Raw genomic sequence first — 24,338 nt, 5'->3', positions numbered from 1 at the left:
GCCCACGAATCTGCAATCAGGGCAGGGCTTGGCAGGAAAGGCTTGTCCCTGTTCCACCAGGTTTCTGCTGGGCCAGCTCAATTAGGGCTGGAAGATGCAGTTCCAACACGCATTCAGATGGTGGCACGTGGTACCAGCTGGTCAGAGAGTTCAGCAGGAGCTGAAAAATGGAGTCCTCAGTTCCTCTCCACAAGCTGCATGGGCTTTCCCATAGAGTGGTGGCCAAGTTTGAAGAGTGAGTATCACAAAACAAAAAGTGTCCTCAAACACAAGAAGTAGAAGCTGCCTTAAGGTGGGGCCCAGAAATTATCACAGCGTCATTGTCACCAAATTCTACTGGTCAAGTAATCATGGAGCCCAGAGTCAAGAGGTAGGGACACAGAGCCTGTCTCTCCGTGTGAGGAGTGCCGCAGATGTTTTTAAAGCACCTTGGACCTCGTCTCCCATCCCTGTGCTCCTCTTTACTGGGCTCTAGCCACACAGACCTTCCTGCAGCTCCCAGCGTGAGGAGCATGTTCCCACCCCAGGGCCTTTGCATTCACTCTTCCTTCTGCTGAAATGGTACCCCCTCCAGACAGAGATCCTTGCTCAGACAGCCCGTCCAACCCTGTCTAAACTAGCAGCCAGCCCTACCCACCCCGCTGGAGGCCCAGCCCCACCTCTTCTTCAGAGCACAGGCGCTGGCTGCAGAGTAGGACACCTGTCAGCCTGTCGCAGTGCCTGGCCCAGGAGCACTCGGGAACCAGTGGCTGAAAGGTCTCCCTGTCTTCTCAGCTACTCTAATCCTTCCTTTCCACTGCCAGAGGGTTCTTTCTAAACAGATCCCCTCCTTTCATCCCACCCCTCAGATGGCATCCTCTGCCTCATCTGCCTGACAACAGCTACCCATCCTTTAGGATCAAAAGCCATCTCATCCTGGAAGCCTGATCGCAGGGCCAGGTTAATCTCCCTCCATCAGCCCCTTTGCATCCCGATATCTGTGCTGCAGCCCCATATAGCACACAGTCTGTATCCCTGAGGCAGGACCTCCTATCTGAGCCCCAGCATTGGCCAGGTAAACAGCAGGTGCTCAGCGGATGTTCATGAAGGACCGAATGGCCAAATCCTTGAACCTCAGCCTCTACCCACACCAATTGTGAGGAAAAAGAAACAAAAGTCTTTATTGATAAATAGCTTACAATGAAATAAATAGAGCAGTGGTTAGTTGAAGAATAAAAACTAGGGCAGAGGCTCGGTCTCTCTCCGCCCCTGCCTCTGGCCCTAAGCTTCAGCCCTCTGGCTGGACACTTTGGATGATGAGGCCTTGATGGGCAGCCCAGCCTTTCTAGGGCCCTTGGGGGCCTCTGTCTTCCTGGACAAATGTGCAGGTACCACCTTGGACCCACTGCCCTTAGCAGGAGCAGCAGCCTTGGTGTTTGGCCCCTGCCCAGCTTTAGGGGCCTTGGCCTTGGCCACCACCTTCTTTTTGGTCGGGGAAGCAGCACCATTCTTGACCTATACGAAAGCAAACCAGGAGCAAAGAGACAGCTGGGAAGGGCTGAAATCCCAGCTCTGGGTGGCTCTGGGTACACAACATCGCCCTTCTAAGCCTTAGTCTCTTATCTGTAAGATGGGGATGGCAACACCCCCAGGGTGCCAGGGGACCAGAGAGAAGGTGGTGGACTGTGCTTTGTAGGAAAAGAAATTGAGCCCCATCCCTGGATGACCCTTCCGGGGGCTGAGTGTGGGATGCCCAAGCTCTGGCCTGTTCAGGGCAGGCAGCCAGGCCAGGAAATTCATGCAGGCACCTACCTTGCTGGCCGTGGGTTTTGAACTCTTACTCTCAGCTTTGGTTTTCCTGTAGGCCTCAGCATCTCCTGGAATTTGATGGAGGAGGTTTTATAGGGGAAGAAGGAGGAACTGCTGGTGGGGCAGGAAGTTTCAGGGGCTCTAGAACCCCCATTCCTCCTGGGTCCTAGGTCTTCACTCAGTTATGTGACATGGGGCAAATCATTTAGCCACTCTGAGCCTCAGTGACCTAGTTTGAAGACTGGGAATAATAGCATGCCCCTCACAGAGTGGCTGGAGGGTTAACGGAAGCACTTGCTCTAGGCAAAGCACTAGTGCTCCAAGCCCACCAAAGCCAACGTCTAACGGGCCTGTCAGCTCGAGCCTTTAGTTTGTCTTCCACCTGGCAGCCAGGATACTTTTTTTTACTTTTAAGACAGGGTCTCGCTCTGTCACTGTGCTGGAGTGTGGTGGGGCGATCTCAGTTTACTGCAGCCTTGACCTCCCAGGCTCAAGCGATCCTCCTGCCTCAGCCTCCCAAGTAGCTGGGGCAACAGGTATGCAACACCATGCCAGCTAATATTTTTATTTTTTGCAGAGATGGGATCCTAGTATCTTGCCCAGATTGGTCTCTAATTCCTGGGCTCAGCACTCACCTGTGTGACAGAGCAAGAGCCTGTCTCTAAAAGAGAGAGAGGAAAAAAAATAATAACTCTAGCCCTAGCTGCTTCCTGTCAGAATCCTTCCACAGCTCTGCATTGTCCTCCAGATAAAGCCCTGATTCCAGCTGCCCTTCACAGCTTCTCCTTGCCAAAACTGTAGGTAGACTGAATTACATGCAGTTCCTCAAATACTCCACCTTCTTTTTGTGTTTTGTTTTGAGACTGAGTGTCACTCTGTCACCCACGCTGGAGTACAGTGGTGCGATCTCGGCTCACTGTAACATCTGCCTCCTGGGTTCAAGTGATTTTCCTGCCTCAGCCACCCAAGTACCTGGGATTATAGGTGTACACCACCATGCCCAGCTAATTTTTGTATTTTTAGCAGAGACGGGGGTTCACCATGTTGACCAGGTTGGTCTCAAACTCCTGACCTCAAGGGATCCGCCCGCCTTGGCCTCCCAAAGTGTTAGGCTTACAGGCATGAGCCACCATGCCCGGCCTAAAAACTCCACCTTCTTTATGCCTCCAGGCCTTTACACAGGCCCTTCCCCTGCTTGAGACACCTTCCTCCACTGCCTCAAGAATGAGTCAGTCTCCTGGTCTCTGCTTCCCCCTTCATAACCCTTGAAATGTCTGCCTCCTTCCCCCAACCAGCTACCATGAGTTCTCTCTCTCCAGGTCAAGCCCAGCACTCAGGACACATGCACTAGATAAGGAAACCCCTCTCCAGAGCTGGCTCCCCGCCCCCGCTCCAGTGGCTGTCAAGACCCCCATCCCCACACCACCCCCTACAAGTCACACAACTACCTTGGCTGCTCCTGCTGCCTTTGGCCTTTGCCTTCCTGCTGAGCCCACCAGCACTGGAAGGTGCCCGCATGGCCTTGTCTGGCTTGGGGGGCACCTTCCTAGCCTCTCCCGACTGTGCCCTGGTGTCCTTGGCCGCGCCGCCTTGCTTGCGAGCCTTCTCTGTGGCTGCGCCTGGCTTGGGAGGAGGCTTCTGCACCTTTGCTGGCCTCTTGGCTGCCTTTTTCACCTTGCCCACGTTGGGAGGGTCCTCCTTGGCCTCACTTGGTTTCTTGGGGCCCTTCCCCTTGGCCTCACCCGCTCTCCTGGGAGCCGTCGCGGGGGCCATCTTCCTGGGCTGGATTTTCTTCTTGTGCTTGGGAACTAACTGGAGAAGGACACGGGGTGGGGCTGAAAGCAGAGCCTCAGGTGCCTCACGCCCCCCACCCCCCGTAAGACTCCGAATGGGAGGCCTCGTTCCAAACAGGGGGGCTCCACAGGCAGTGAGAGGCAGGGAGAAGGCACGAAGCCACTGTCCTTGGAGGCACTGTCTACTATGATTCTAGGATCTCAGGATCTCTCAACCACCTGCCCTAGGCCTGCCACTTTCCCACAGATTGTGCCTCTGGACTCCTCCTCCCCCACTACCCTGAAGCGCTGCCCTGCCTCATGCCCCATGCCCCCACCACCTCGCCCCTTGACGCTCAGCAGAACATGGGCTGAGGTCAGATGGCTCTGGGCTCACAGCTTCCTCCGCCCTCCTCCAGCCGTGTACCACAGCCACGTCTTCTCATCTTTACAGCAGGACAATCACCAAGGCTGTGAGCGGCAGGGAAGGGAGGGCTCCTGGCAAGCTGTTTCTTTCCTGTCCCCCAACCCTCAGGGCTCCCCATCACCAAGACTAGAAACTACCTTCACCCCTCAACTGCCAGCACACCGCATCAGACACCTGACGCCCCTCTGGCTCTTCTCCCTGCTTAGCCGCCTGGTCCTGCTGTGACGCAAGTCCAGGCTCTGACCCACGCCCAGGAGTTCTACCAGGGTGGGACTTTCTGTGATCTGTCACCAGGTAACCACAGGGACCGGCTTGGGGTAGGCTGAGAATGTTCCCCAGCATTCCATGGCAACTGTCATGGCAGCTGCTACATGCAGGAAGTTAGGCAAGATGCAGGGGACCCAGCAATGACAAGTCAGGCCGTGGGTCTGGTCCCTGAGGTATTCCTGGTGGCTGATGACAGTCCTGATGTTGGGGTGCAGTTTTGTCCCAGACCTGCCTCAGCTCTGAGTGACCTGGCATGGGTCCCCTTTTGGAGCCTCCTTATAAAGATGAAACTCTCCCCTTTGAAACGGAGGACATGGCTGCTCAGGGAGGTGCCAGCAGAGGGAAAACCCTTTGCTGTGGTGAGGAATTCCAGGAAGGGGCTACGTGCCCAGGACCCAGAAGTTAGCACAGCTGACACAGGCCCTGGGATCCCAAACATGCAACAGTTCACCTGTCCTGGACACCAACAGGGTGACTCTTGCAGTGGGAGCTCAGAGAGGGCACACTACCTGCCTTCCTAGAGGAGAGGGCATCTCGGCTGAGACCACAGGAGGAACAAGGACAGGGGACCGGAGGGGAAAGGCCTTCCAGTAGAGGCCGCAGCACTCACAGAGGCCAGGACCATTGCTCCAACCCTGGGCTATGTCCTCCCTCAGGGGCGCTTACTTTGAAGCTGCCAGTGGCCCCCCTGGCTTTGGAGTTGAGGGGCCTGGCGAGGAGGCCACGGCGCATGCCAGTGGCCAGCGCCTGCTTCAGCAGGTACTTGAAGCGGAGGACGTCCACTGTTGGGTACTTGTGCAGGATGTAGAGCTTGATAGCTGCCACCGACGTGCCCCGGCGCTGCTCCCCAGCCTGCAGCGCCTCCAGCACCATGCGTAGCACCGGGGGGTGGCGGCGTCCCACCGGGAGGCTGCTGTGGCTCGGGCCTCCTGGTGGGACACCGCCGTGGCTCGGGCCTGAGGAGAGATGGCAGGCCATCACCCGGGGCCCAGTCACAACTCAGTGGCAGGCATCAGCTGGCCCGTGGGGGGTGGGTGAGGGTCCAGCAAGGATCAGATGCCCCCCTCTCCCCAAGACACTGACCGCTGGCATGGGAGCTCCCGGATGGTCTCCCCTCAAGGCTCACTGAGTCTCTCTCTCTTTTTTTCTTTGAGACACTGTCTCTCTATGTCCCCAGGCTGGAGTGCAATGGCGTGATCTCAGCTCACTGCAACCTCCACCTCCTGGGTTCAAGCAGTTCTCCTGCCTCAGCCTCCCAAGTAGCTGGGATTACAGGCGCTGCCACCATACCTGGCTGATTTTTGTATTTTTAGTAGAGACAAGGTTTCACCATGTTGGCCAGGCTGGTCTTGAACTCCTGACCTCATGACCCACCCGCCTCGGCCTCCCAAAGTGCTGGGATTACAGGCTTGAGCCACCGTGCCCAGCCAAATCTCTCTTTTTAAAGAATGGAGTATTCCTTTAGAAAAACAATCTAAATTGGGTGAATTTCGTAACTGTGGGTTTACAGGACCTCCGGGGGCTATGTGCACATTCTCAGAGGCACCCAGACTGAGAGACTCTCCAGGGCACACAGCCGGGTTTCTTCCACAAATAAGGGGGGAAAGAAAAAGTGGGAGGGGCACCCTATGGACTAAAGGTCCTTAGGAAACCTCTCAACCAAATGCTCATTCCCAGAGCAGGATTTGAACAATCCAACTGGAAAAAGAAAGGCAACAGATAAATGTGAGCACTGGAAGGAAATATCGGATATTAGGGATAATATTGTTTCAAGTGTGCTAATGGTATTACAATTGCTTTTTAAAAGGCTCTTATCTGTTAAAGGTAAATATTATAAAAGATATTTACAGATGAAATGATACATAAATCCAGCATTTGCTTTGAAATAACCCAGCAGATGAAACAAGAGTGTCCACAAGATGGTGACTGTTGGAGCTGGGTGACGGGTACAGTGGAAGGGAGTTACAGACCATTTGGTAGTCTACTTTTGTATCCATTTGAAAGTTTTTTGTTTTGTTTTATGGAGACAGGGTCTCAATCTGTCACCCAAGCTGGAGTGCAGTGCCACAATCATGGCTCACTGCAGCCTTGACCTCTCCAGCTCAAGTGATCCTCTTGCCTCAGTCTCCGAAGTAGCTGGGACCACAGGCACACACCACCACGCCTGGCTAATGTTTGTATTATTATCATTATTATTATTATTATTATTATTATTATTATTATTGTTATTGTTATTTGACACAGGTCTCACTACATTGCTCAGTTTAGTCTCAAACTCCTGAGTTCAAGCTATCTTCCCACCTCAGTCTCCCAAAGTGCTAGGATTACAAGCATGAGCCACCATGCTCGGCCCTGAAAGTTTTCATAATAAAAAGTTACCAAAAAATTCCACTCTTCGGTATATACCTGAGGGAAATGAAAACGCATGTCCACACAAAAATGTACACATGAATGTTCATAGCAGCACTATTCATGTCGGCCCAAAGATGGAACCAGCCCAAACATCCATGATGAATGATTGACAGATGGATGAACAAAATGTGGTCGCTACCCATCCCGTGGAATATTATCCAGCCATACAAAGGAGTGAAGCCCTGGCTACGACATGGAGGAGCCCTGAAACATGCAAAGTGAAAAAAGGCAGTCAGAAAAAGCCACATACTGTCTGATTCCATTTATATGAAATGTCCAGAATAAGAAGTCCATAGATGCAGAAAGCAGATTGGTGGTTGCCAGGGCTGGGGAGTGGGGGTGGAGAGTGACTGCTAATGGGTACTGGTTTTCTTGAAGTGATGAAAATATTCTAAAATTGATTATAGAGATGGATACACAACTCTGAGTATACCAAAAGCCATTGTACACTTTAAAGGGTGAATTGTATTGTATGGGAATTATTTCTCAATAAGGTGTTATAAAATAGTTGCAAATGAAGTGGGATCAAGGGTGGGGGAAGCATGAGAAGTTGTCAGTCACCATGAAATGCATAAAAGGGATTTAAATATGAAACCGGATTTAAATGTGGTGAATGGAAATGTTGATTTCTGATCAATCTGCAGAATTTAAAGACTTAAATTCTGGGCAATATCGTGAGACCTCGACTCTACGAAAATCTTTAAAAATGAGCAGAGTGTGGTGGTGTGTGCCTATAGGCCTAGCTACTTGGGAGGCTGAGGTGGGAAGATTGCTTGAGCCTGGGAAGTGGAGACTGCAGTGAGCTGAGATCACACCACTGCACTCCAGCCTGGGTGACAAAGCAAGACCCTGTCTCAAAAAAAAAAAAAAAATTGGCTATATTAAAATTTTTTTTCAATAGAAAAAAAAAACCATGAAACTCTAGATCTAGAGCAAAATTATAAAGAGACCTAATCACTTCGACCCCTGTTGGGTCCTGGCCATGACGAGCCCAGTGTGGGAATATTCATTTGGGGGCCAAAGGCGTTGAGCTGGTGTAGTCCTGGGTCACTCCCGGGTTCTCGGGAGTTTCATTCTTCCCTCTAGGCCTCAGTCTTCCCATCCGTACAGTGGGGACGGGGGCCTCTAAGGAGGTCTGAGCCCTCCCAGCTGCAGTGCTACAGGGCTTCCCAAGGGTCTTCGCTTGGCCTGACTTCACGAGCAGCTCCAACCCCTCCTCTGCTTCCCCCAGACCATGTCTGTCCCAGAGAGCCACCCCCAGGAGTCCTCCCTCAGGTCTGTTCCCTCTCATCCCAGCCCCTCATTCGGCAGCTATTCCATGCCTGCTGTATACCAGGATGTCCAGAACAGAGCTCAGCCCCCCAAATCTGCCCCTCCTCTCTCTTCCAGGAATGCCCCATGCCCCCACTGCCCATACCTACCCAACATCCAAGCAAGAACTGGGGGCATTCTGGGCCCTTTCCTCCTCACCACACCCACTCGAGGCCTCCCCATAGGCTTTTCTCTCCATATTCTGGCCTCTCCTCTCCAACTCCCCAGCCCCAGCCTCCTCCCCACTGCCTCTTCCCCACCGCATGCATTCTCCTCGCTGTATCTCACACCCCTCACCTCCCTGCTTGAAACCGTCCATGGCTCCCTGTTCAAGATAAAAGTTGACCTAACTGAAGACCGCCTTGGAGGCCCTCCCACTGCTCCCCTAGCACTGCCCCAGCACTTCCCTCCTTCCCAGAAGGAAGATGCAGCTTCCGAGACAAGCTGCTGGTGCGCTGGCCTCTGGGCCTTAGCCCATGCCGTTTCCTCTGCCTGGGCTGCCTCTCTCCTCCCGGTCATGCAGGCTGCTCTCACTCATCCTTCAAGGCTCAAAATGCACCTTGGTTTGGACACCTCTGACTTCCCAGTTAACTCTGCCCTTTTACTTCTCGGCACCTGGACCCCCTCCCTATCTCCCTAGGTGTCTTGGCAAATAGAACACTTCCCCCGGCTGAGGCACACCCATCCTTCAGGGTCACCTCTTCTAGGAAGCTTTCCCTGACCTCCCAGAGTGGGTTAGAGGACTCCTCTGGGCTCCTCCAGCTCTGGATTACCGCCACTGAAGCACACATCACATTAGCAAACAGCAACAAGCCATGGGCCAGGCTTCCCCATCAGACCGGGAGGTCCTCGAGGGAGTGAACTGGGCCTGGTTTGCCTCGGTGCACCCTCATGTCCAGATAAACCCTGAGGTGTTTTTTGGTTGAAAATCGGAATGCCTAGCCCTGCATAAAATGCTCCTGCCCCAGTCCCTCCAACTAGCTGCCCACAGCTGCAGCCTGGCTACGGGCTACGGTCCCAGCAGGAAACGGGCTCCAGCTGGAAGGCCCTGTGGCTCTTCCCTGAGCGAGGCCGGCCCCAGCCCCCAGGCCCTACCTGGCCTTGCTACCTGTAGATCAGCTCTTCAGCCAAAAGGCAGTTGAGCTCAGCAGCTTGGTGCTGGGTGGGTGCTGGGTGAGTGCTGGGTGAGTGCTGGGTGGGTGCTGGGTAGGTGCTGGGGCCAGGCTGGGAAAGAACGAGAAGCAGGGGTGGAGCATCAAAGGCAACCCAGGGAGTGGGCTCGCAGGGATGAGGGAGGAGCTGCCTCCTCTTGCTCACCTGGCTTTTCAGATTCAGGAGACCTGGATGATCCTGCTGTGGAAGTCGAGGAGGGTGAGATGTCGCTGGTGACGCTCCCAGGAGCCATGAGACCGACAGGTGCAGCCAGCAGACCCCTCACCCGGGTGTGAGGCTGCTGGGCCTGCCCACTAGGCTTATATACCAGCAGCCCACCCCCACCACTCCAATCAGCCCTGATTGGGCTGGGAGTGCTCCAAGCTGCTGACTGGGGCTGGAGGTGTGGAATGGGGCACAGCATCCTGCCTTCTGTAGGGAGCCCCAGCTGGACTACCCACTCCTGTGTAAGCTTGGGGGTGTCGCTTGACTTCTCTGGGTCTCAGTCCCCATGGTGCAATGTTGGGAGCTGAGATGCTTGATCTCGCCTGTGCCCTCTGCCCACCAGGGGCTGGAGATGCTGATGAGGAATTGGGGTCACCTGTGTTGTCAGGGAGGCCGCTGAGGCGGCCCTCTAATCCTACCAGGTGGGCAATGGGCTGCCCCACGCCACTGCTGGCCTCAATTTCTCAAAAAGTAGCAGTTGGAGGCAGCCCAACTGCTACTTTTGCCCAGAGCACATGCCCCTCAATCAGAGTAGCCCCTTCTGAGGCCAGCCAGGCTCTCTGGGCCTATGCCCTCCTTTGGTTTTGTTTTTAAAGAAATAAATCAATAACGGAGGATGCTTCACAAAAGTCTTCATAGATAAGGACAACATCCACTGGGACAATGGACAAAGAATATAAACAGGCAATTCACCAGCCTAAAGGGTGAGGAACAGAAACAGGAAAATGGACACTCAACTTCCTTGGCATTTGAGAAAATTCAAATTGAAACAATGGTGAAATACTACTTTTTCCCATCAAATTGACAGACAAAAAAAAAAAACTTTCCAAGCAAACACCCAAGGCCTGGCTAAATCACACCCTTTCTGCAGAATATTCTGCAGCCATCTAAAATGACAAGGTGGGCTGGTGCGGTGGCTCAGGCCTGTAATCCTAGCACTTTGGGAGGCTGAGGTGGGCGGATCACCTGAGGTCAGGAGTTTGAGACCAGCCTGGCCAACATGGTAAAACTTCATCTCTACTAAAAATACAAAATTAGCTGGGCGTGGTGGTGTGCACCTGTAGTCCCAGCTACTTGGGAGGCTGAGGCAGGAGAATCACTTGAACCTGGGAGCTGGAGACTGCAGTGAACCAGGATCGAGCCATTGCACTCCAGCCTGGGCAACAAGAGCGAAACTGTGTCTCAAAAATAAGTAAATAAAAATAAAATAAAATAATATAATATAATATAAAATGACAAGATGGATTAAAACAAGGATGAGAGGCCAGGCATGGTGGCTCATACCTGTAATCCCAGAACTTCGGGAGGCTGAGGCAGGAGGATCGCTTGAGCCCAGGAGTTCAAGACCAGCCTAGGCAAAAAAGTGAAATCCTGTCTCTACCAAAAAATACAAAAATTAGCTGGGCATGGTGGTGTGCACCTGTAGTCCCAGCTACCTGGGAGGCCGAGGCAGGAGGATTGCTTGAGCCTGGGAGGTCAAGGCTGCAGGGAGCTGTGATCACACCCCTGCACTCCAGCCTGGGCTACAGAGTAAGACCCTGCCCCCCCCAAAAAAAAGGGGGAGGGAAAGAAAAGAAAACAAACAAGAATGAGGCTGTATTTCACACTCAGCAAAATGACAAAGATGTAAGTGTCTATCAATAGTGAGTGACTAGGATTCAAGGAAAGTATAGCTGCTGGGGGGTGGGGAGTGAGCTGGTAGCCGCCTTAGAAAGCAATTCAGCGATGTTTCATACAACTAAGGAGGGACTCACTCCACAACCCACCTATTCCACTCTAGGCGTAGATCTGAGACAAACATATACACTTACGTGCAAAGATGTTTATTTCAATCTTAGCAGAAATTCAAAACAACATAAATGCCCATCAGGTGGAGAGTGAACAAGTAAACTGTGGCCTATTCGCACAGTGGAGTAGTATGCAGTAGTGAAAAGGAGTGAACCAGAATGTATCGGAGAGTACACCCCAACTACTGAGAAGACAAAACTTGCGTGTGTGTGTGTGTGTGTGTGTGTGTGTGTGAAGGCACAATAGTTCTTTTTAATTTTTAAAAAATTTTTTTGTTTTTTTATCTTACCAGTCACAAGCAGTAGAAAAAAGTTCTGAATGGATTCATACCAAGGTAATAGTAGAAGTGGTTACCTCTGAGGAAGGGATGGGTTTTAAACAGCATACATTCTTCTCTAGGTAGTCTCTTTATTGTGGAATTTTCCCAGAGGGCTCTCCATCACCAGAGATCTGGACTCGGGGAGGCTGTGGTCATCAAAGTGTTCTAAAGTGAAGTCAGATTTCACTCCCCCGCTTAGCATCCTGCATGGCTCCCCACTGCCCGTGGGTGAAAGTTCATGCTCTTCAGTCTGACTTAAGGAGCCTCCTCCCCGCTTGAATCCCACAATTCACCCACACTGCGGCTCCTGGAATGGGCCATGTGCTGATATCGGGCCCCTTTTGTCTCCTCTGTGTGTGTTGAATTGATGCAGAACTGCCCCCAATTTTTCACTCCTGCCCATTTGCAATGTAACTTTGCAACCCCTCTCACATTTCTTGTTTGTTTGTTTGTTTTTTGAGACAGGGTTCCACTCTGTCGCCCAGGCTGGAGTGCAGTGGTGCAATCATAGCTCACTGCAGCCTCGACCTTCTGGGCTCAAGTGATCTCCTACTTCAGTCTTCCAAGTGGCTAGGACTCAGGCACATGCCACTATGCCTGGCTAATTAAAAAAAAAATATATATATATATATATATATATATATATATATATATATATATATATATATATACACACACACATACATATATATATGTGTATATATATGTATGTATATATATTAGAAATGGAGTCTTGCCATGTTGCCCAGGCTGGTCTTGAACTCCTGGCCTCAAGTGACCTCCCACCTGGCCTCCCAAAGTGTAGGGATTACAGGCATGAGCCACTGCACCTGGCCCCTCCCACATTTCTTAAGTCTGAGTGGATTCCTTAAATCTTATGACTTGCTTTGACCAATAGCAGAAATGATGGTATGCCAGTCCCATTGCCATGTTAACTAGCTCCTAGCTAGCCTGCCAGATGCTGAGGCCTATGGCCATCACCCCTGTTACCCAGCCATCTGAGGGTCAACCAGCCAGTCCCCAGCCAACCCTCCAGTTGACCACAGATGCTTGAATGAACCCAGCCGAAATTGACCAAGCTTGGTTCAGATCAGCAGATCTGCCTGGCTGATCCAGAGTCATGAATGATATGCAGCTTGTTGTTTTAAGCCATGAAGTGTTGGGGTTGTCTGTCTTGCCGTACAAGTCAATTGATACACTTGGCCTTAGAAAGCCCCTCTGTATGCACTGCCCCCCCTTCTCTGGACTCTTTCCCACTCATCTTTTGGCCTCAGAGTAGATGCCGCATCTTCAGAAAAGCCTTCCCTGGCCTCTAGAAGGTTAGGGGCCCCTCCTCTGGGCTCTGCCAGGCCCCAGCCTTGCTCCTGGAGAGCCTCAAGCGCTCTGAATCGCAGCTCTGCTTCCGTGTCTCCAGCCTTTGCGCTCTGGTTGAGGAGCAGGGCTGTATCTGTCTTGTTCCTGGTGGTATCCCTGGTGCCCAGCACAGCACCTGGCACACGGTCGGTGCTCAGTACCCATTACTGTGATACCTGGAGGTCCCAGTGCTGGAGGCCTGAAAACCCTCTTCCGGGACTATGCTGGAGCAGAAGACGAAGCAAAGAGGCAAATGGAAGTTGGCACAAGTGGGGGCAGCAATTTTGATCACATTTATGGGACACTTCCAAGAACTGAGAAGTAGAGCAACACTCAGTGATAGAAACATTCCCACGAGCTTCTTCCGAAACCATGCTCCCGGCTGTGCCAGGATCAAGTTTCGCATTTGAAGGGAAGAAGCTCTAAAATGTGCTGCATGATCTAAAAATTCCTCTAGAGGATTGCCTTTTTACAGGGAAATGGTAATTCTGAGCATCAGACTGCAGGGACAACGGGCCGCTTGGTGAGCTTCTGTGATTTTTTACTGAGGCCTGTATGAAATGTAACTTCTGCTGAGAACTAGTTATGAAACACTGAATGGGGTCAGCCTACATGTGAACTGCCCTACAGTTCTGAAGATCACAGTTCTGAACTTTTGGAAGCAGTTTTAGGGTGTCTGCTTTGTGTAACTCCAGCCCCTGTAACATCAGGACATTTGTGACTTTTCTTTCCTGACTTTTAGTCAATAAATATATAAAGGGCGGGGTAGAAATAGTAATGGCTGCCACATTCGACATCCATGTAAATATTTTATATTCACTATTTTATTTATACATGGAGAAGCTGAAGTTCAGAGAGGACCTGCACTTCGATCTTCCTGAGTTCCTGGGCTGCAGCCTGGAAGCCCTTTGTTTTAGTAAAGAAATTGGCTATAGGCCAGGCGTGGTGGCTCATGCCTGTAATCTCAGCACTTTGGGAGGCTGAGGCAGGCGGATTACTTGAGCTCAGGAGTTCAAGATCAGCCTGGGCAACATGGCAAAACCCCGTCTCTACTAAAAATACAAAAAATTAGCCAGGCAAGGTGGTGCGTGCCTGTAATCCCAGCTACTCGGGAGGCTGAGGCAGGAGAATTGCTTGAACCCAGGAGGTAGAGGTTGTAGTGAGCCAAGATTATGCCACTGCACTCCAGCCTGGGCAATAGAGCAAGACTCTGTCTCAGAAAAGAAAGAAGGAAAGGAAGGAAGGAAGGAAGGAAGGAAGGGAGGGAGGGAGGGAGGGAGGGAGGGAGGGAAAGGAAGGAAGGAAAAGAAATTGGCTATAACTCCAAAATCACAAGTGACTTAAACAAGAAACCATGAAACTCTTCCCTCTTGAAACTCTTTAAGCATAAGTTGGCCAGGGCTGTTAAGGCAGCATGGGGGAACCATGGTGAGACACACCAGAGAACACTTTGCCATTCTCTGTCCTCAGATTCTATCTCATGATCTAATATGGGTGCGGAAGCTCCAGTCATCATGACTGCTTTCCAGCCAGCAGGAAGAAAAGATGAGAGGAAAAGGAGGGCACTTCCATTCTCCAAAATGCACAACCTAGAGACTGCACACATCATTTCTGAGTACCCTACAATGACTGGACCTTAATATCCTGCCACCACAGGTGCAAAAGAAGCCGAAAGATGCTGTCTTGTGTTGAGCAACCAGGTGCCCAGCTAGAACCTAGGATGATATTGTTAATAGAAGGAAAGGGAATGAATACTGGGGGCAGTTAGCACTTGCTTCCCCACTTTTGCAAGACCCCCCTCTCTGTGTTAATCTCCTTACAAGTCAATTTCCCACCACACAAGCGGCTGCCTCCTCTGAACTTAGTTCATGTCTCTGGGAAGGGAATTCACATTTATTGAATGTCTACTGTGCACAGCACCCTTTACACCATTAATCTTATTAGTCCCTATAGACAATTCTACCAAGTGGGATAATTCTCTCCTTTATAGCTGAGGGGCCTGAGTCTTGGAGTAATTCAAGGACTTGCCCAAACCAAGTGCTGTGGCTCATGCCTGTAGTCGCAGCACTTTGAGAGGCCAAGGCAGGAGGATCGTTTGAGGCTGGAAGTTCAAAACCAGCCTGGGCAACATAGGGAGACTCCATCTCCACAAAAAATAAAAAATAAGTTGGGTGTGGTGGGGTGTGCCTGTGGTCCTGGCTACTTGAGAGGCTGAGACAGAAGGATTGCTTGAAACTGAGAAGTCGAGGCTACAGTGAGCTATGAGGGCACCACTGTACTCCAGTCTGGGTGACAAAGTGAGACCCCATCTCAAAAAAAAAAAAGAAAAGAAAAAGAAGAAAGAAAGAAAGAAGCAAGGAAGGAAGGAAGGAGCAAAGAAAGAAAGAAAGAAAGAAAGAAAGAAAGAAAGAAAGAAAGAAAGAAAGAAAGAAAGAAAGAAAGAAAGAAAGAAAGAAAGAGAAAGAAAGAAAAAGAAAGAAAGAGAACTTGCCCTGAAGCTACATAGTTGGGAAGGGCACCCACTCTCTCCTTATGGGGCACCTCAGGCTTTCAGGGGTGCATCTCTCCCTTGGCGTGACAGAGCTCTGTGGCCGTGAGGCAGCCCAGGTCATAGCCTAGAGACTTGGTCTCTAGGCTCCAATTCATCTCCGAGTCCCCAGTGCATTCTGGCATGGGGTCAGCTTGCTCAGGTTTGGTTGAATGGAGCTGCCATTGTACCCAAGAGGCACTCTGTACATCTGCTGGCTGCCTGGAGATGAGGTGGGGCCAAACTTGCTGCAACTTAAGGCAGCAGCTCCTTCTCTTTATGTATGCAAGTGCCCACGAAGCAGCTGTCAAGTCATTTGTAAATTAAGGAGGTGGAGGCTTTCTTGTCTATCAGGACAAACCAGAGAATGTTCTGGTGTTAGAGTAAAATTTTCCTCTGGACATGAGGCTGGGGCAAATGTACCATTTCTCAGAAAAAGTGGGCTGGGTTGGGGTTGGGGCGGGGAGCTGGAATGGGCTGCCTGCAAGTCAGGGCAGCTAAGATGCCACTGTCCCACCCACTGCCACCCTGGCCCAACACAGCATCCAAAACAAAGGGTGAGACCTTCGGGACCACCCATAGGAATCTTCTCCCTCATGTCCCTGAGATGATGAGGGAGGGAGGCCTGGTCCAGCCACGTGCCCAGAAAACACCAACTTAGATTCCATTCCCTCTGGGTTGATGTTGGCTCTGCTCACCCTGCCTCCTGCCCTCCTACTTCAGGTAACAGCACCTGGGCTTTCCTTTGTGAAACCTACCTCTCCCCATTCAGCCTGCTTGGGCTGCAGGGTGAGCATGTGACCTAGGTCTGACCAATCAGAGGATGAATCCCCATTCCAGCCATGGTGATGCAGTTAGACCTGCGTATGCCTAGTATTCCATTATTGGAACGCTAAGCATGTGGGAGTTATTTATATCCTACTGCTCAAGGTCATCGCCAAGGTCTGATTGCAAAAATCCAAAAAATTGCAACCTCAGGCATAAATGAGTTACGTATGATCAGGTGACCTAGACTTGGCCAATCACAGAATTAATCCCCATCTCAGTCATGGTGATACCCTGTGCCTGAAGCCCCGGGCTTTTTGTTCATGTGAGCCAACAATGTGTCCCTTTTGCTTCAGCCCAAATGAGTTGGATTTCCTATCACTTGTGACCAAAAGTATCCTGACTGATATTATCTAGTGAGTCACAGTAAAGAGGGACAATGATAGAGATCCCAGCATGATTTGCCCCAGCCTCACCAAGGCACCGAGGATCGGCTATCTCATGCTCCTGCCCTCCTTTCTCACCTCGGAGGAGGGGGTGACTCTCGGGAGCTTTAGCTCCATCCTTTTCCCCTTTGGGACAGGGTCTCTAGTAAGGCCAGCTCTGAGCTGAAGCCCAGTATTGCCATAGTCTCATCTGCTGCATGCCAGGCAGTAGGCTGGCCACTTAAAGTCCACAGTCGCATCTAATCCCCTTAGGATCAAGTGGTTTTTTTGTTGTTGTTTTTTGTTTGTTTGTTTGTTTGTTTGTTTGTTTTGTTTTGTTTGGAGACAGACTGTCCCTCTGTTGCTCAGGCTGGAGTGCAGTGGCGCAATCTCGGCTCACTGCAACCTCCACCTCCCAGGTTCAAGCGATTCTCCTGCCTCAGCCCACTGAATAGCTGGGATTACAGGCACGCGCCACCATGCCCAGCTGATTTTTGTATTTTTAGTAGAGACAGGGTTTCACCGTGTTGGTCAGGCTGGTCTCAAACTCCTGACCTCGTGATCTGCCCACCTTGGCCTCCCAAAGTGCTGGGATTAGAGGTGTGAGCCACTGTGCCCAGCCAAGGTCAGTTTTAAGATTCTTTTTTGCAGATAAGGAAGCTCTGAGAGGTGACAAAGCTTGTTTGCAGTTTTATGGGTTACCTGTGCCTCTATGACCCCAAAGTTGGGGTTTTTCCCATTCCCAGGACTGCCTCCTCCACCTCTAGCCCCAGGGGACTCTGTGCTGCTTGGCTCTGCTCATTGCTCAATCCAGCCATCCCAGGGTCAGGGATCAGGTGGAAGCTGGCAGTTTCAATCTATCCTGTGGATAGAGTGTGAAAGCAACAAAACCCACCACCGTTAATACCAACATAGGAGCTGAGCTTTTAATGGCCCAATTTGCCTTAGTCTCCAGGCAGAGCTGGGTAAAGCTAGAGCTTCTGGCTTTGCTTATATGGAGAAGGGGGAGCAGTTACTGAGGCAGCTTAATTCTGACACCTCAGAGATGTGGCCAGCTTTTTGGAGCAGATTCTCCAGAATGGAGAATGGACTAGCAACTGCTGAAGATGGGCTTGTCTGGCAAGGGAAACTGGAAACTGGGGCCCATGAACATCCCCAAGGAAGGTAGGCCCAGTGGAATTTCCCACTCTTTGTTTCTAAGCTCTTCGAGATAAGGATGACATCAGGGACTCAGCTGTTAATTAAATGTGGGCGGGTGAGCATGGCTTCTAGAGGCTCCATGCTCTAGATGCTGGGACCCAGGTGCTAGAGCAAAAGAGCAGGTGGCTTCCAGAGGCTGAGAGAAAGGCCTGTCTCTCCATAGGCCACATTGGGAAGGGGAGGCACGGGACCTGGGGCCCCACACTAGGGGTGAGACCCCAGGCCCAATCTCACCCTCATTGGGAACTTGGCCTTCACCGTCCCCCTCCCCCAGTGTTGTTTTTTCAGGTCTGATGACTGCATTCTGCATTCCTGTGACTGTCCCTGCCTACAGCCCAACCCCCAGCCCTGGTCTGGCCTTGATGCCTAGCTAATTTTTAAAAACCTGCCCCAAGGTTGGGTGAAACCCCATCATCTGAATGCCCAATCTCAAAATGTTCACTATCAGGAGGTGATAATCATAGTAATTAACTAGTTACATTAATTGATGTTATTCACAACATTAACTAGAATCTGTACAGCTTCTTGCTATTTACAAAGTGCTGAAACACACACATAGACACACACACACCTCTTTTGGTCTTCTCAGTAGCTGCGTGTCGGCAGGACCAGGGATCTGGGATTTCCATTTTATAGGAGAAGAAAGTGAGGCCCAGGGAGGGAAAAACAACTGCTCCATATCATTAGCCAAGTATGAGTTGCTGCTGCTGCGAGGGTCTGAGAGGATAGATATGTTCTCCCTTCCCATTCATTCCTCCATTCCTTCCTGCATCCATCCAGCATTTATTAAGCACCTACTGTGTGCCCCATTCTGTGCTAGACACTTATCCCTAAGCTGGGACACTTTTCCAGAAAGCAAGAATCCTCGTGTTCCTGAAAGATGAGTTGGGAGGAGGAGGGGCACACATCCCGCTGGCCTTGGGGAACGTGGGACTCCAGATCAGTAGGTCTTGGTGGATGTCCCTTCTCAGGCTGTCCCAGGTGAGTGAGGAGCCTCATTAATTATTTCTTAAAAAAAAAAAAAAAATTAAGGAGCCTATGTGACTTCGTTCATTCTGCACAGGCGCTGCTCCTGGTGGGATGGCTGTGGCTGGGGGAAGGTGTAGGGGATGGGAGACGCCTATAGTCGGCCACAGAGTCCTAGGCAGGTCTTAGGCCGGGGCCACCTGGCTCGTCTCCGTCTTGGACACGGTAGCAGAGGCCTCATCGTCACCCAGTGGGTTCTTGCCGCAGCAGATGGTGGTGAGCATGCAGTTCCGGAACTGGAAGGCAAGAGGCTTGAGTCAGGGCCAGGGCTGCCCACAGTGTGCTTGGAACTGGCACGTTAGTGAGGTTCGCCCCGACCCTTTGCCTGCTTCTGCCCCTCACGATTCCAGCGCCCCATCCACTCAAATCCAGCTTCCTGGAGGGAACCTGCTAGGCAGACGCTCCTCACCCCTAGAGATGCCAGGGACTGAGCACAAGGGGGCTGTGTCACCCGTGACATTTCATGGTGCCCTCTGTGTGCCAAGGGTGTTCTGTAAATTATCTCTTGTAATCCAAGAGTTTGGTGTTTTGCCCTTTCTACCTTTCTATGGATGAGGAAACCAAAGCACAGAGAAGGAAATTGACTTGCCCAGGGCCATACAGCTAGAAAATGGCAGAGCTGACTTCAGAGACTGTTTACCCAACTGTTTACCCCTCGGAGGTACCTCTCCGAGGAACCCTTTACCCCTTTACCCCTCAGAATAAGACTTTTTAGCTCCTTATTCAGCTTTATGGAGACTGGCCCATCCCATTCCCGACTTGGGTCCTTCTGACTTTGACATTGGGCTTCCAGAACTAGCTGACTGGAGCTTCTCCCACCTGAGTGAGCATCTGAGCCACCTGTGGAGGGCTTGCTGGAAATGCAGGTTCCTGGGCCCACCCTGAGATTCAGCAGTTCTGAGTGGGGCCAGGAATCTGCATTTCTCACACACTCCCCATTGGGACTGCTGACCCAAGACTGCTGCCAGTAACCCTGATGGAGCCCCCTCCCCTGCCCTGGGAAGTAGCTTGTCCTTGGCAGGCAGCGCCTGTGGCCTGGGGCACTGGGGCCCTCCCACCCGCAGTAGGCACCTGCTTGTTCATCATGATATAGATGACAGGGTTGTAGATGGCGGCGCTCTTGGCAAAGAACGCTGGGATGGTCATGAAGATGGGACCGAAGTTGGAGCCCTGGTGGGTGAAGATGTAGAATGCCACGCTGGCGTAGGGCACCCAGCAGATCAGGAAAGCGATGACCATGATGATGACCATGCGGGTGACCTCCTTCTCTGCCTTCTGTGTGGTGGCTGACTCCTGCTGCTGGGCAGCGGCCTGCAGGACACGGGACCCGGGTCCAGACCATGGCTCCTCCAGGGAGCAGGAGCCGCAGATGCATGCTGGGGGCTGGACCCTCAGAGCCGTGAGGCCGCCCACCCCCCGGCCCGTACCTCCTTGACGGTGAAGACGAGCTGCCCATAGCAGAAAAAGATGATAATCATGGGGATGGTGAAGTGGACCACGAACATGTAGATGACAAAAGACTCGTTGTTGACCTCCGGCTTGAGCGTGTAGTAGTCGATTCCACACGAGCACTGCAGGCCCTCGGGGATGTACCTGAGGACAGGCAGGTAGGGAGACCCTGCCTGTGAGGGACTTGGGAACAGCCAAGGTGGCTGCCGAGCGCTGGCCCTTTCTGGGGCTTCACATTCCCTCCCTGGAAAAGGGGATCATAAACGTCTGCATGGCTGGGTGACAGGATGGAATGGATCAGATGGGGATGCAGATGCACCTTGTGGAATCAGTGTCGCTTCATTGTTTGGTGGCTGCGTTACCAGATGACACCACCCAGCCTCTCCCTGCATGCCCAGCCCCAGCATCCACTGCCCGCTGAGGCTAGGGCTATGCCACGCAGAGGGTTGGTGAGGAGGTGGGGAGAGCCCTCAGGCTCTGCATTTGAGGAAGTTTGTACAAACCGAGGTCTTCCTAGCCCCAGGGTGAGAGTATTTTCCAGGCCAAAGATGGACACACAGAGTATCTAAGGGATCTTTGTGCAGCTTCTGGAAACTAGAGGCTTCCAGCGCACGTCATTAGGACGTGGCAATGGTTCCTGATATTGGTGACAGTGGACGGGCCTCAGGAAACCCAGAGCGTCCAGCGGCTCTGCTTCCAGAGGATAGAACTAGGCCAGATTGGAGAAGATGGGGAAAAAGTCCAGGGGGTGGGCTCAAATTCAGCAAGGGGTAAGAAATGGACCCTAGCAAGACTGAGGAGGAAAGGGAAGTGAGAGTGGGAATTTTCTGGAGACAGAGGGACATGAGGCCTCTGGGGACCAGAGTCACCAGTCCTATTGTCCAAACCACTGTCCCCACTGTGTCTCATCTCAGCCCCATTAGGAGACAATCGCCTAGAGGCTGAGTGGGACCCAGTTCCAAGGGGCCACAATATGGCCACCTGCACTAGGAAGGTGTGGCCTCCCCTGCTGCTGAGGCCCAAGGTTAGAGGGGGCTGCCCCCGGGGTACTAGACCAAAGAGGATTGGAATTTGCGCCTAGCTTAGTTGAGGATTAGGGGCACAGCCAAGGTGAAGGGTTGGGATGTCTTGGATTCTGTTTGACATGGGGCTCAGGAGATGGGACCAGCCCTTGTAGCAACATTAGAGTCTGTTTCTTCTTCTGCCCTACACCCCTACCCTGAGTGGGCATTTGGGCCAGGAGACATACAAGGTCAGTGCCTGGAACCAGACACTACTGGGTTTGAGTCCTGACTGGAGGACCCTACAAAGAGCCCCCGGAGCTTCTTCCCTTCTGCTCAGTGCCATTACCTGGACCAGCCGGCGAGTGGGGGTGCGGCGCAGGCCAGCGCCATGACCCAGGTGAAGGCAACGCCCATGATGGCATGGTTCTCCCCGAAGCGGAAGTTGCTCATGGGCTTACACACCACCACGTACCGCTCGATGGCCAGGACCACCAAGGACCACAGGGCAATTTCACCTGCAAGGCAGTCAGCAGGCGGTCAGCACAGACCCCACTGCCTAAGGAGGGTGCACTCCCCCCTAGACAGGGAGAGGGTAGCTAGGAAGGCAACCAGGAGTGGGAGAGGGATTTGAGGAGGCCTTGGGGAAGGAGAGAGCTTGGTGCTGGGAGGAGGGGGAAGGGGCAGAGGGACCACACGCTGAGGAGAGCTGGGCAAAGAAATTCCAGGGAATGGGGGAAGTTATTTGCTTAGCGCTCTGGGCCCATAAGGGACACGAATCAGATCAGGGGGTCAGGATTGAACTGGGAACCCGGTAGGGAGTTTTGTGTGTGTGTGTGTGTGTGTGTGTGTGTGTGTGTTGTGTGTGTGTGTGTGTGTGTGTGTGTTTAGCAGAAGAATGCATCCTAATGTGGGGCAGAGTTCCTTGTTGGGAAGGAATGCAGAGGTGGTGGAAACCCAGAATTGGCAGTCCTTCCTCCCTCTCCCTTCTCGGGAAATGAAATAACCCGGACATGTGGGGGCCTCTCCTAGGAGCCATGAAGCAATGTGCAATGTTTTGCCCAGAGGAAGAAGAAGGAAATGATGGAATTCAGACATCTGTCCTGCTCACCACCCCATGAAGTTCCATAGGGAGAGTGGCCATATAGTTAATCAACCAAACTGGGACATTCCTAACAGTGAAAGGGACAATATTTGTAAACTGGGACTGACCCTGCAGAGAACAACCACCCGTAAGTGGCACACCCACCTTCTGGCCAGAACTGAGTGATCTGTGATTATTGAATGCAACAAACACCCAACAATGGCCAGAGATTCCCTGAGAATGGGACCGAGGCAGCAGCCTGGACATGGGGGAGACAGGGCAAGGCTGGCAGAGAGACGCTTGTGGCTGGCGGTAAGCTCTCCCCGTCACCCAGCTTTGCAATGGCTGCTTCTAGCGTCTCCTCCTGCATCTCAGCAGAGATATTCCTGGATCACAGCCAGGAGACCTAGGCTCTTGTTGCTGCCTGGCCACATCCCTAAATGAGTCTCTTCCCCTCTCCCTGCCTCAGTTTTCCTCTCTGTTAAGTGGGATCTGTTATCCCTGCAGCACCCCATCTGTTTTCCTGTTAAATGCAAGACATTATTCTAAAGCAAAAAGGAACTGCTTCAGAGCGGCTGCTTGCGGTTCTCAACACCAGGAGACTTGGAACGCGGCAGGGAGGCTGGAGGGGCACCTGAGGACAGGGGCTGAGAGGGGAGGCAGAGGATGCCAGAGGGGACCGAGCCCATTGCCCAGCACAGGGAAGACCCAATGACTGGAGAATGGAAAATCCACTTCCCACCCTGAGCTTGGGCCCCCAGAGAGGAGGGGTCTGGCTTGCCCAGCTCTCCCTCAGTGCCCAGCCTGGGTCTGACTCAGCACAGCTGCTCCAAGGGAAACAGAGGCTTGGTGCTGCAAACATGGCCCGAGATAGATGCGGGCTTCCAACTCAACTCTGCACCCGTCCCTGTGTGACGCCCCAGCAGGGCGCTTGACTTCTTTGAGCCTCAGCTCAGTTTTCTTGCTGTGAAATTAGACAAGCGCATATTGCTCCAAATAAGATCAAGGCAGTGTTCAGTGCCAGCCCTGCACAAACAGCAGCCCGGCTATCACCATGAATGGTGTTTGTTGACTGAATATATGAGGGCTTTGGATAACATTGACAGGACAGGAGAAGGGAGAAGGCCTCTCAGCCACCACCGCCAAGCCCGGGACTCTCCCAGACCCCTCCATGCTCCCGGGCTCCTGCACACCCCACCCACACCCGGCTCATACCGCCCAGGGTGGCAAAGAAGCCCTCCAAATTGCATCCTGTGGGCCCGAAGACGAAGTATCCATGCAGAGAGGTGTAGAGGGTGCTGGTGAAGCCACCTAGGACCATGAAGAGGTCAGCCACGGCTAGGTTGAGCAGGATGTAGTTGAGAGGCGTGCGCAGCTTCTTGTGCTGGACGGTGACGTAGAGCGTGAGGAAGTTGATGGGGAAGCCCAGCACGATCAGCAGAAACATGTAGGCGGCCAGCATGGAGAACTGCCATGGCTCAGCCAGGTAGTACTGTGGGTACTCGAAGGGGCTGCGTACCACACCCGTCGCATTGGAGAAGGGCACGTAGAAGTTAGGGCCTTCTGTGCCATTCATGGCTGTGGCCCTTGTGGCTGACCCGTGGCTGCTCCCACCCAAGAATGCTGCGAAGGCCTGAGCTCAGCCACTCAGGGCTCCAGCTGGATGACTCTGGGTTCTGACCCCCCCAGACCCTTATAAAGTGACCTCCCCCTCCTAAGCTCCTGGCTGAATCAGCATCTGGGAGATTGGGGGTGTTCATAATCATATTAATCCCCGCTGCAGAAACTGAGGGCCTAATTGGCTTCTAAGAGGGGCCAAGGTGACACTAGGAGGAAGCCTGAGGTCAGGGAGGAGAGGTACTCAGGATCCAGGAAAAGGGAGGAGAAGGTCCCCTAACTTCTGCATGACTTGTCTGTCCCAAGGTCCCAGCTCAGTCTGGTGGCCTGGGTTTGAAATAGGGACCATGGGCCTCTGTGCTATGTCCTCTGGACAGCTAGAGACTTTCTGGTTTATTCTCCCAGTCTCTCATCTCGTCACACAGCCCCT

The 24,338-nt window shown here is 52.3% G+C and overlaps 2 protein-coding genes across 4 annotated transcripts, besides 5 other annotated features; both read right to left on the bottom strand.

The window, feature by feature from the left end:
* Nucleotides 1-1,133: 1,133 nt before the first annotated feature.
* On the bottom strand, nt 1,134-9,426 carry H1-8 (H1.8 linker histone). Of its 3 annotated transcripts, NM_153833.3 has the most exons (5): nt 9,295-9,426; nt 4,921-5,210; nt 3,237-3,600; nt 1,792-1,856; nt 1,134-1,494 (listed from the first exon to the last, which is right to left on the bottom strand). In NM_153833.3, exons 1-5 carry the CDS (start codon nt 9,380-9,382, stop codon nt 1,261-1,263), a joined length of 1,041 nt encoding a protein of 346 aa, NP_722575.1. In that variant the 5' UTR covers nt 9,383-9,426; the 3' UTR covers nt 1,134-1,260. The 3 variants fall into 3 exon arrangements, with proteins under 3 accessions (NP_722575.1, NP_001295191.1, XP_016861222.1); NM_001308262.2 differs by lacking the exons at nt 4,921-5,210; nt 9,295-9,426 and adding an exon at nt 4,125-4,216; XM_017005733.2 differs by lacking the exons at nt 4,921-5,210; nt 9,295-9,426 and adding an exon at nt 4,125-4,216 and having other exon boundaries at nt 3,237-3,596.
* Nucleotides 5,701-5,995: a silencer, noted in NCBI's record as "tiled region #2951; K562 Repressive non-DNase unmatched - State 23:Low". NCBI's record gives its function as "represses a minimal TATA promoter and a strong SV40 promoter by Sharpr-MPRA in K562 cells {active_cell/tissue: K562}" and the evidence as "EXISTENCE:reporter gene assay evidence [ECO:0000049][PMID:27701403]".
* Nucleotides 9,386-9,887: an enhancer, noted in NCBI's record as "H3K4me1 hESC enhancer chr3:129261557-129262058 (GRCh37/hg19 assembly coordinates)". NCBI's record gives its function as "activates a minimal SCP1, AML or CMV promoter by ChIP-STARR-seq in naive H9 embryonic stem cells {active_cell/tissue: H9 hESC(naive)}" and the evidence as "EXISTENCE:reporter gene assay evidence [ECO:0000049][PMID:30033119]".
* Nucleotides 16,776-17,445: an enhancer, noted in NCBI's record as "H3K27ac hESC enhancer chr3:129253999-129254668 (GRCh37/hg19 assembly coordinates)". NCBI's record gives its function as "activates a minimal SCP1, AML or CMV promoter by ChIP-STARR-seq in naive H9 embryonic stem cells {active_cell/tissue: H9 hESC(naive)}" and the evidence as "EXISTENCE:reporter gene assay evidence [ECO:0000049][PMID:30033119]".
* On the bottom strand, nt 17,257-23,962 carry RHO (rhodopsin). Its single transcript, NM_000539.3, has 5 exons — nt 23,507-23,962; nt 21,557-21,725; nt 20,185-20,350; nt 19,829-20,068; nt 17,257-18,993 (listed from the first exon to the last, which is right to left on the bottom strand). The coding sequence occupies exons 1-5, from the start codon at nt 23,865-23,867 to the stop codon at nt 18,883-18,885; spliced, it is 1,047 nt and encodes a 348-aa protein (NP_000530.1). The 5' UTR covers nt 23,868-23,962; the 3' UTR covers nt 17,257-18,882.
* Nucleotides 22,560-23,285: an enhancer, noted in NCBI's record as "H3K27ac-H3K4me1 hESC enhancer chr3:129248159-129248884 (GRCh37/hg19 assembly coordinates)". NCBI's record gives its function as "activates a minimal SCP1, AML or CMV promoter by ChIP-STARR-seq in naive H9 embryonic stem cells {active_cell/tissue: H9 hESC(naive)}" and the evidence as "EXISTENCE:reporter gene assay evidence [ECO:0000049][PMID:30033119]".
* Nucleotides 23,286-24,011: an enhancer, noted in NCBI's record as "H3K4me1 hESC enhancer chr3:129247433-129248158 (GRCh37/hg19 assembly coordinates)". NCBI's record gives its function as "activates a minimal SCP1, AML or CMV promoter by ChIP-STARR-seq in primed H9 embryonic stem cells {active_cell/tissue: H9 hESC(primed)}" and the evidence as "EXISTENCE:reporter gene assay evidence [ECO:0000049][PMID:30033119]".

Source organism: Homo sapiens, chromosome 3 (genome assembly GCF_000001405.40).
Source record: "Homo sapiens chromosome 3, GRCh38.p14 Primary Assembly".
Classification (NCBI taxonomy): domain Eukaryota; kingdom Metazoa; phylum Chordata; class Mammalia; order Primates; family Hominidae; genus Homo; species Homo sapiens.
Note: the sequence above shows the minus strand (reverse complement) of the source record. Positions and strands in the feature narration are given on the sequence as shown.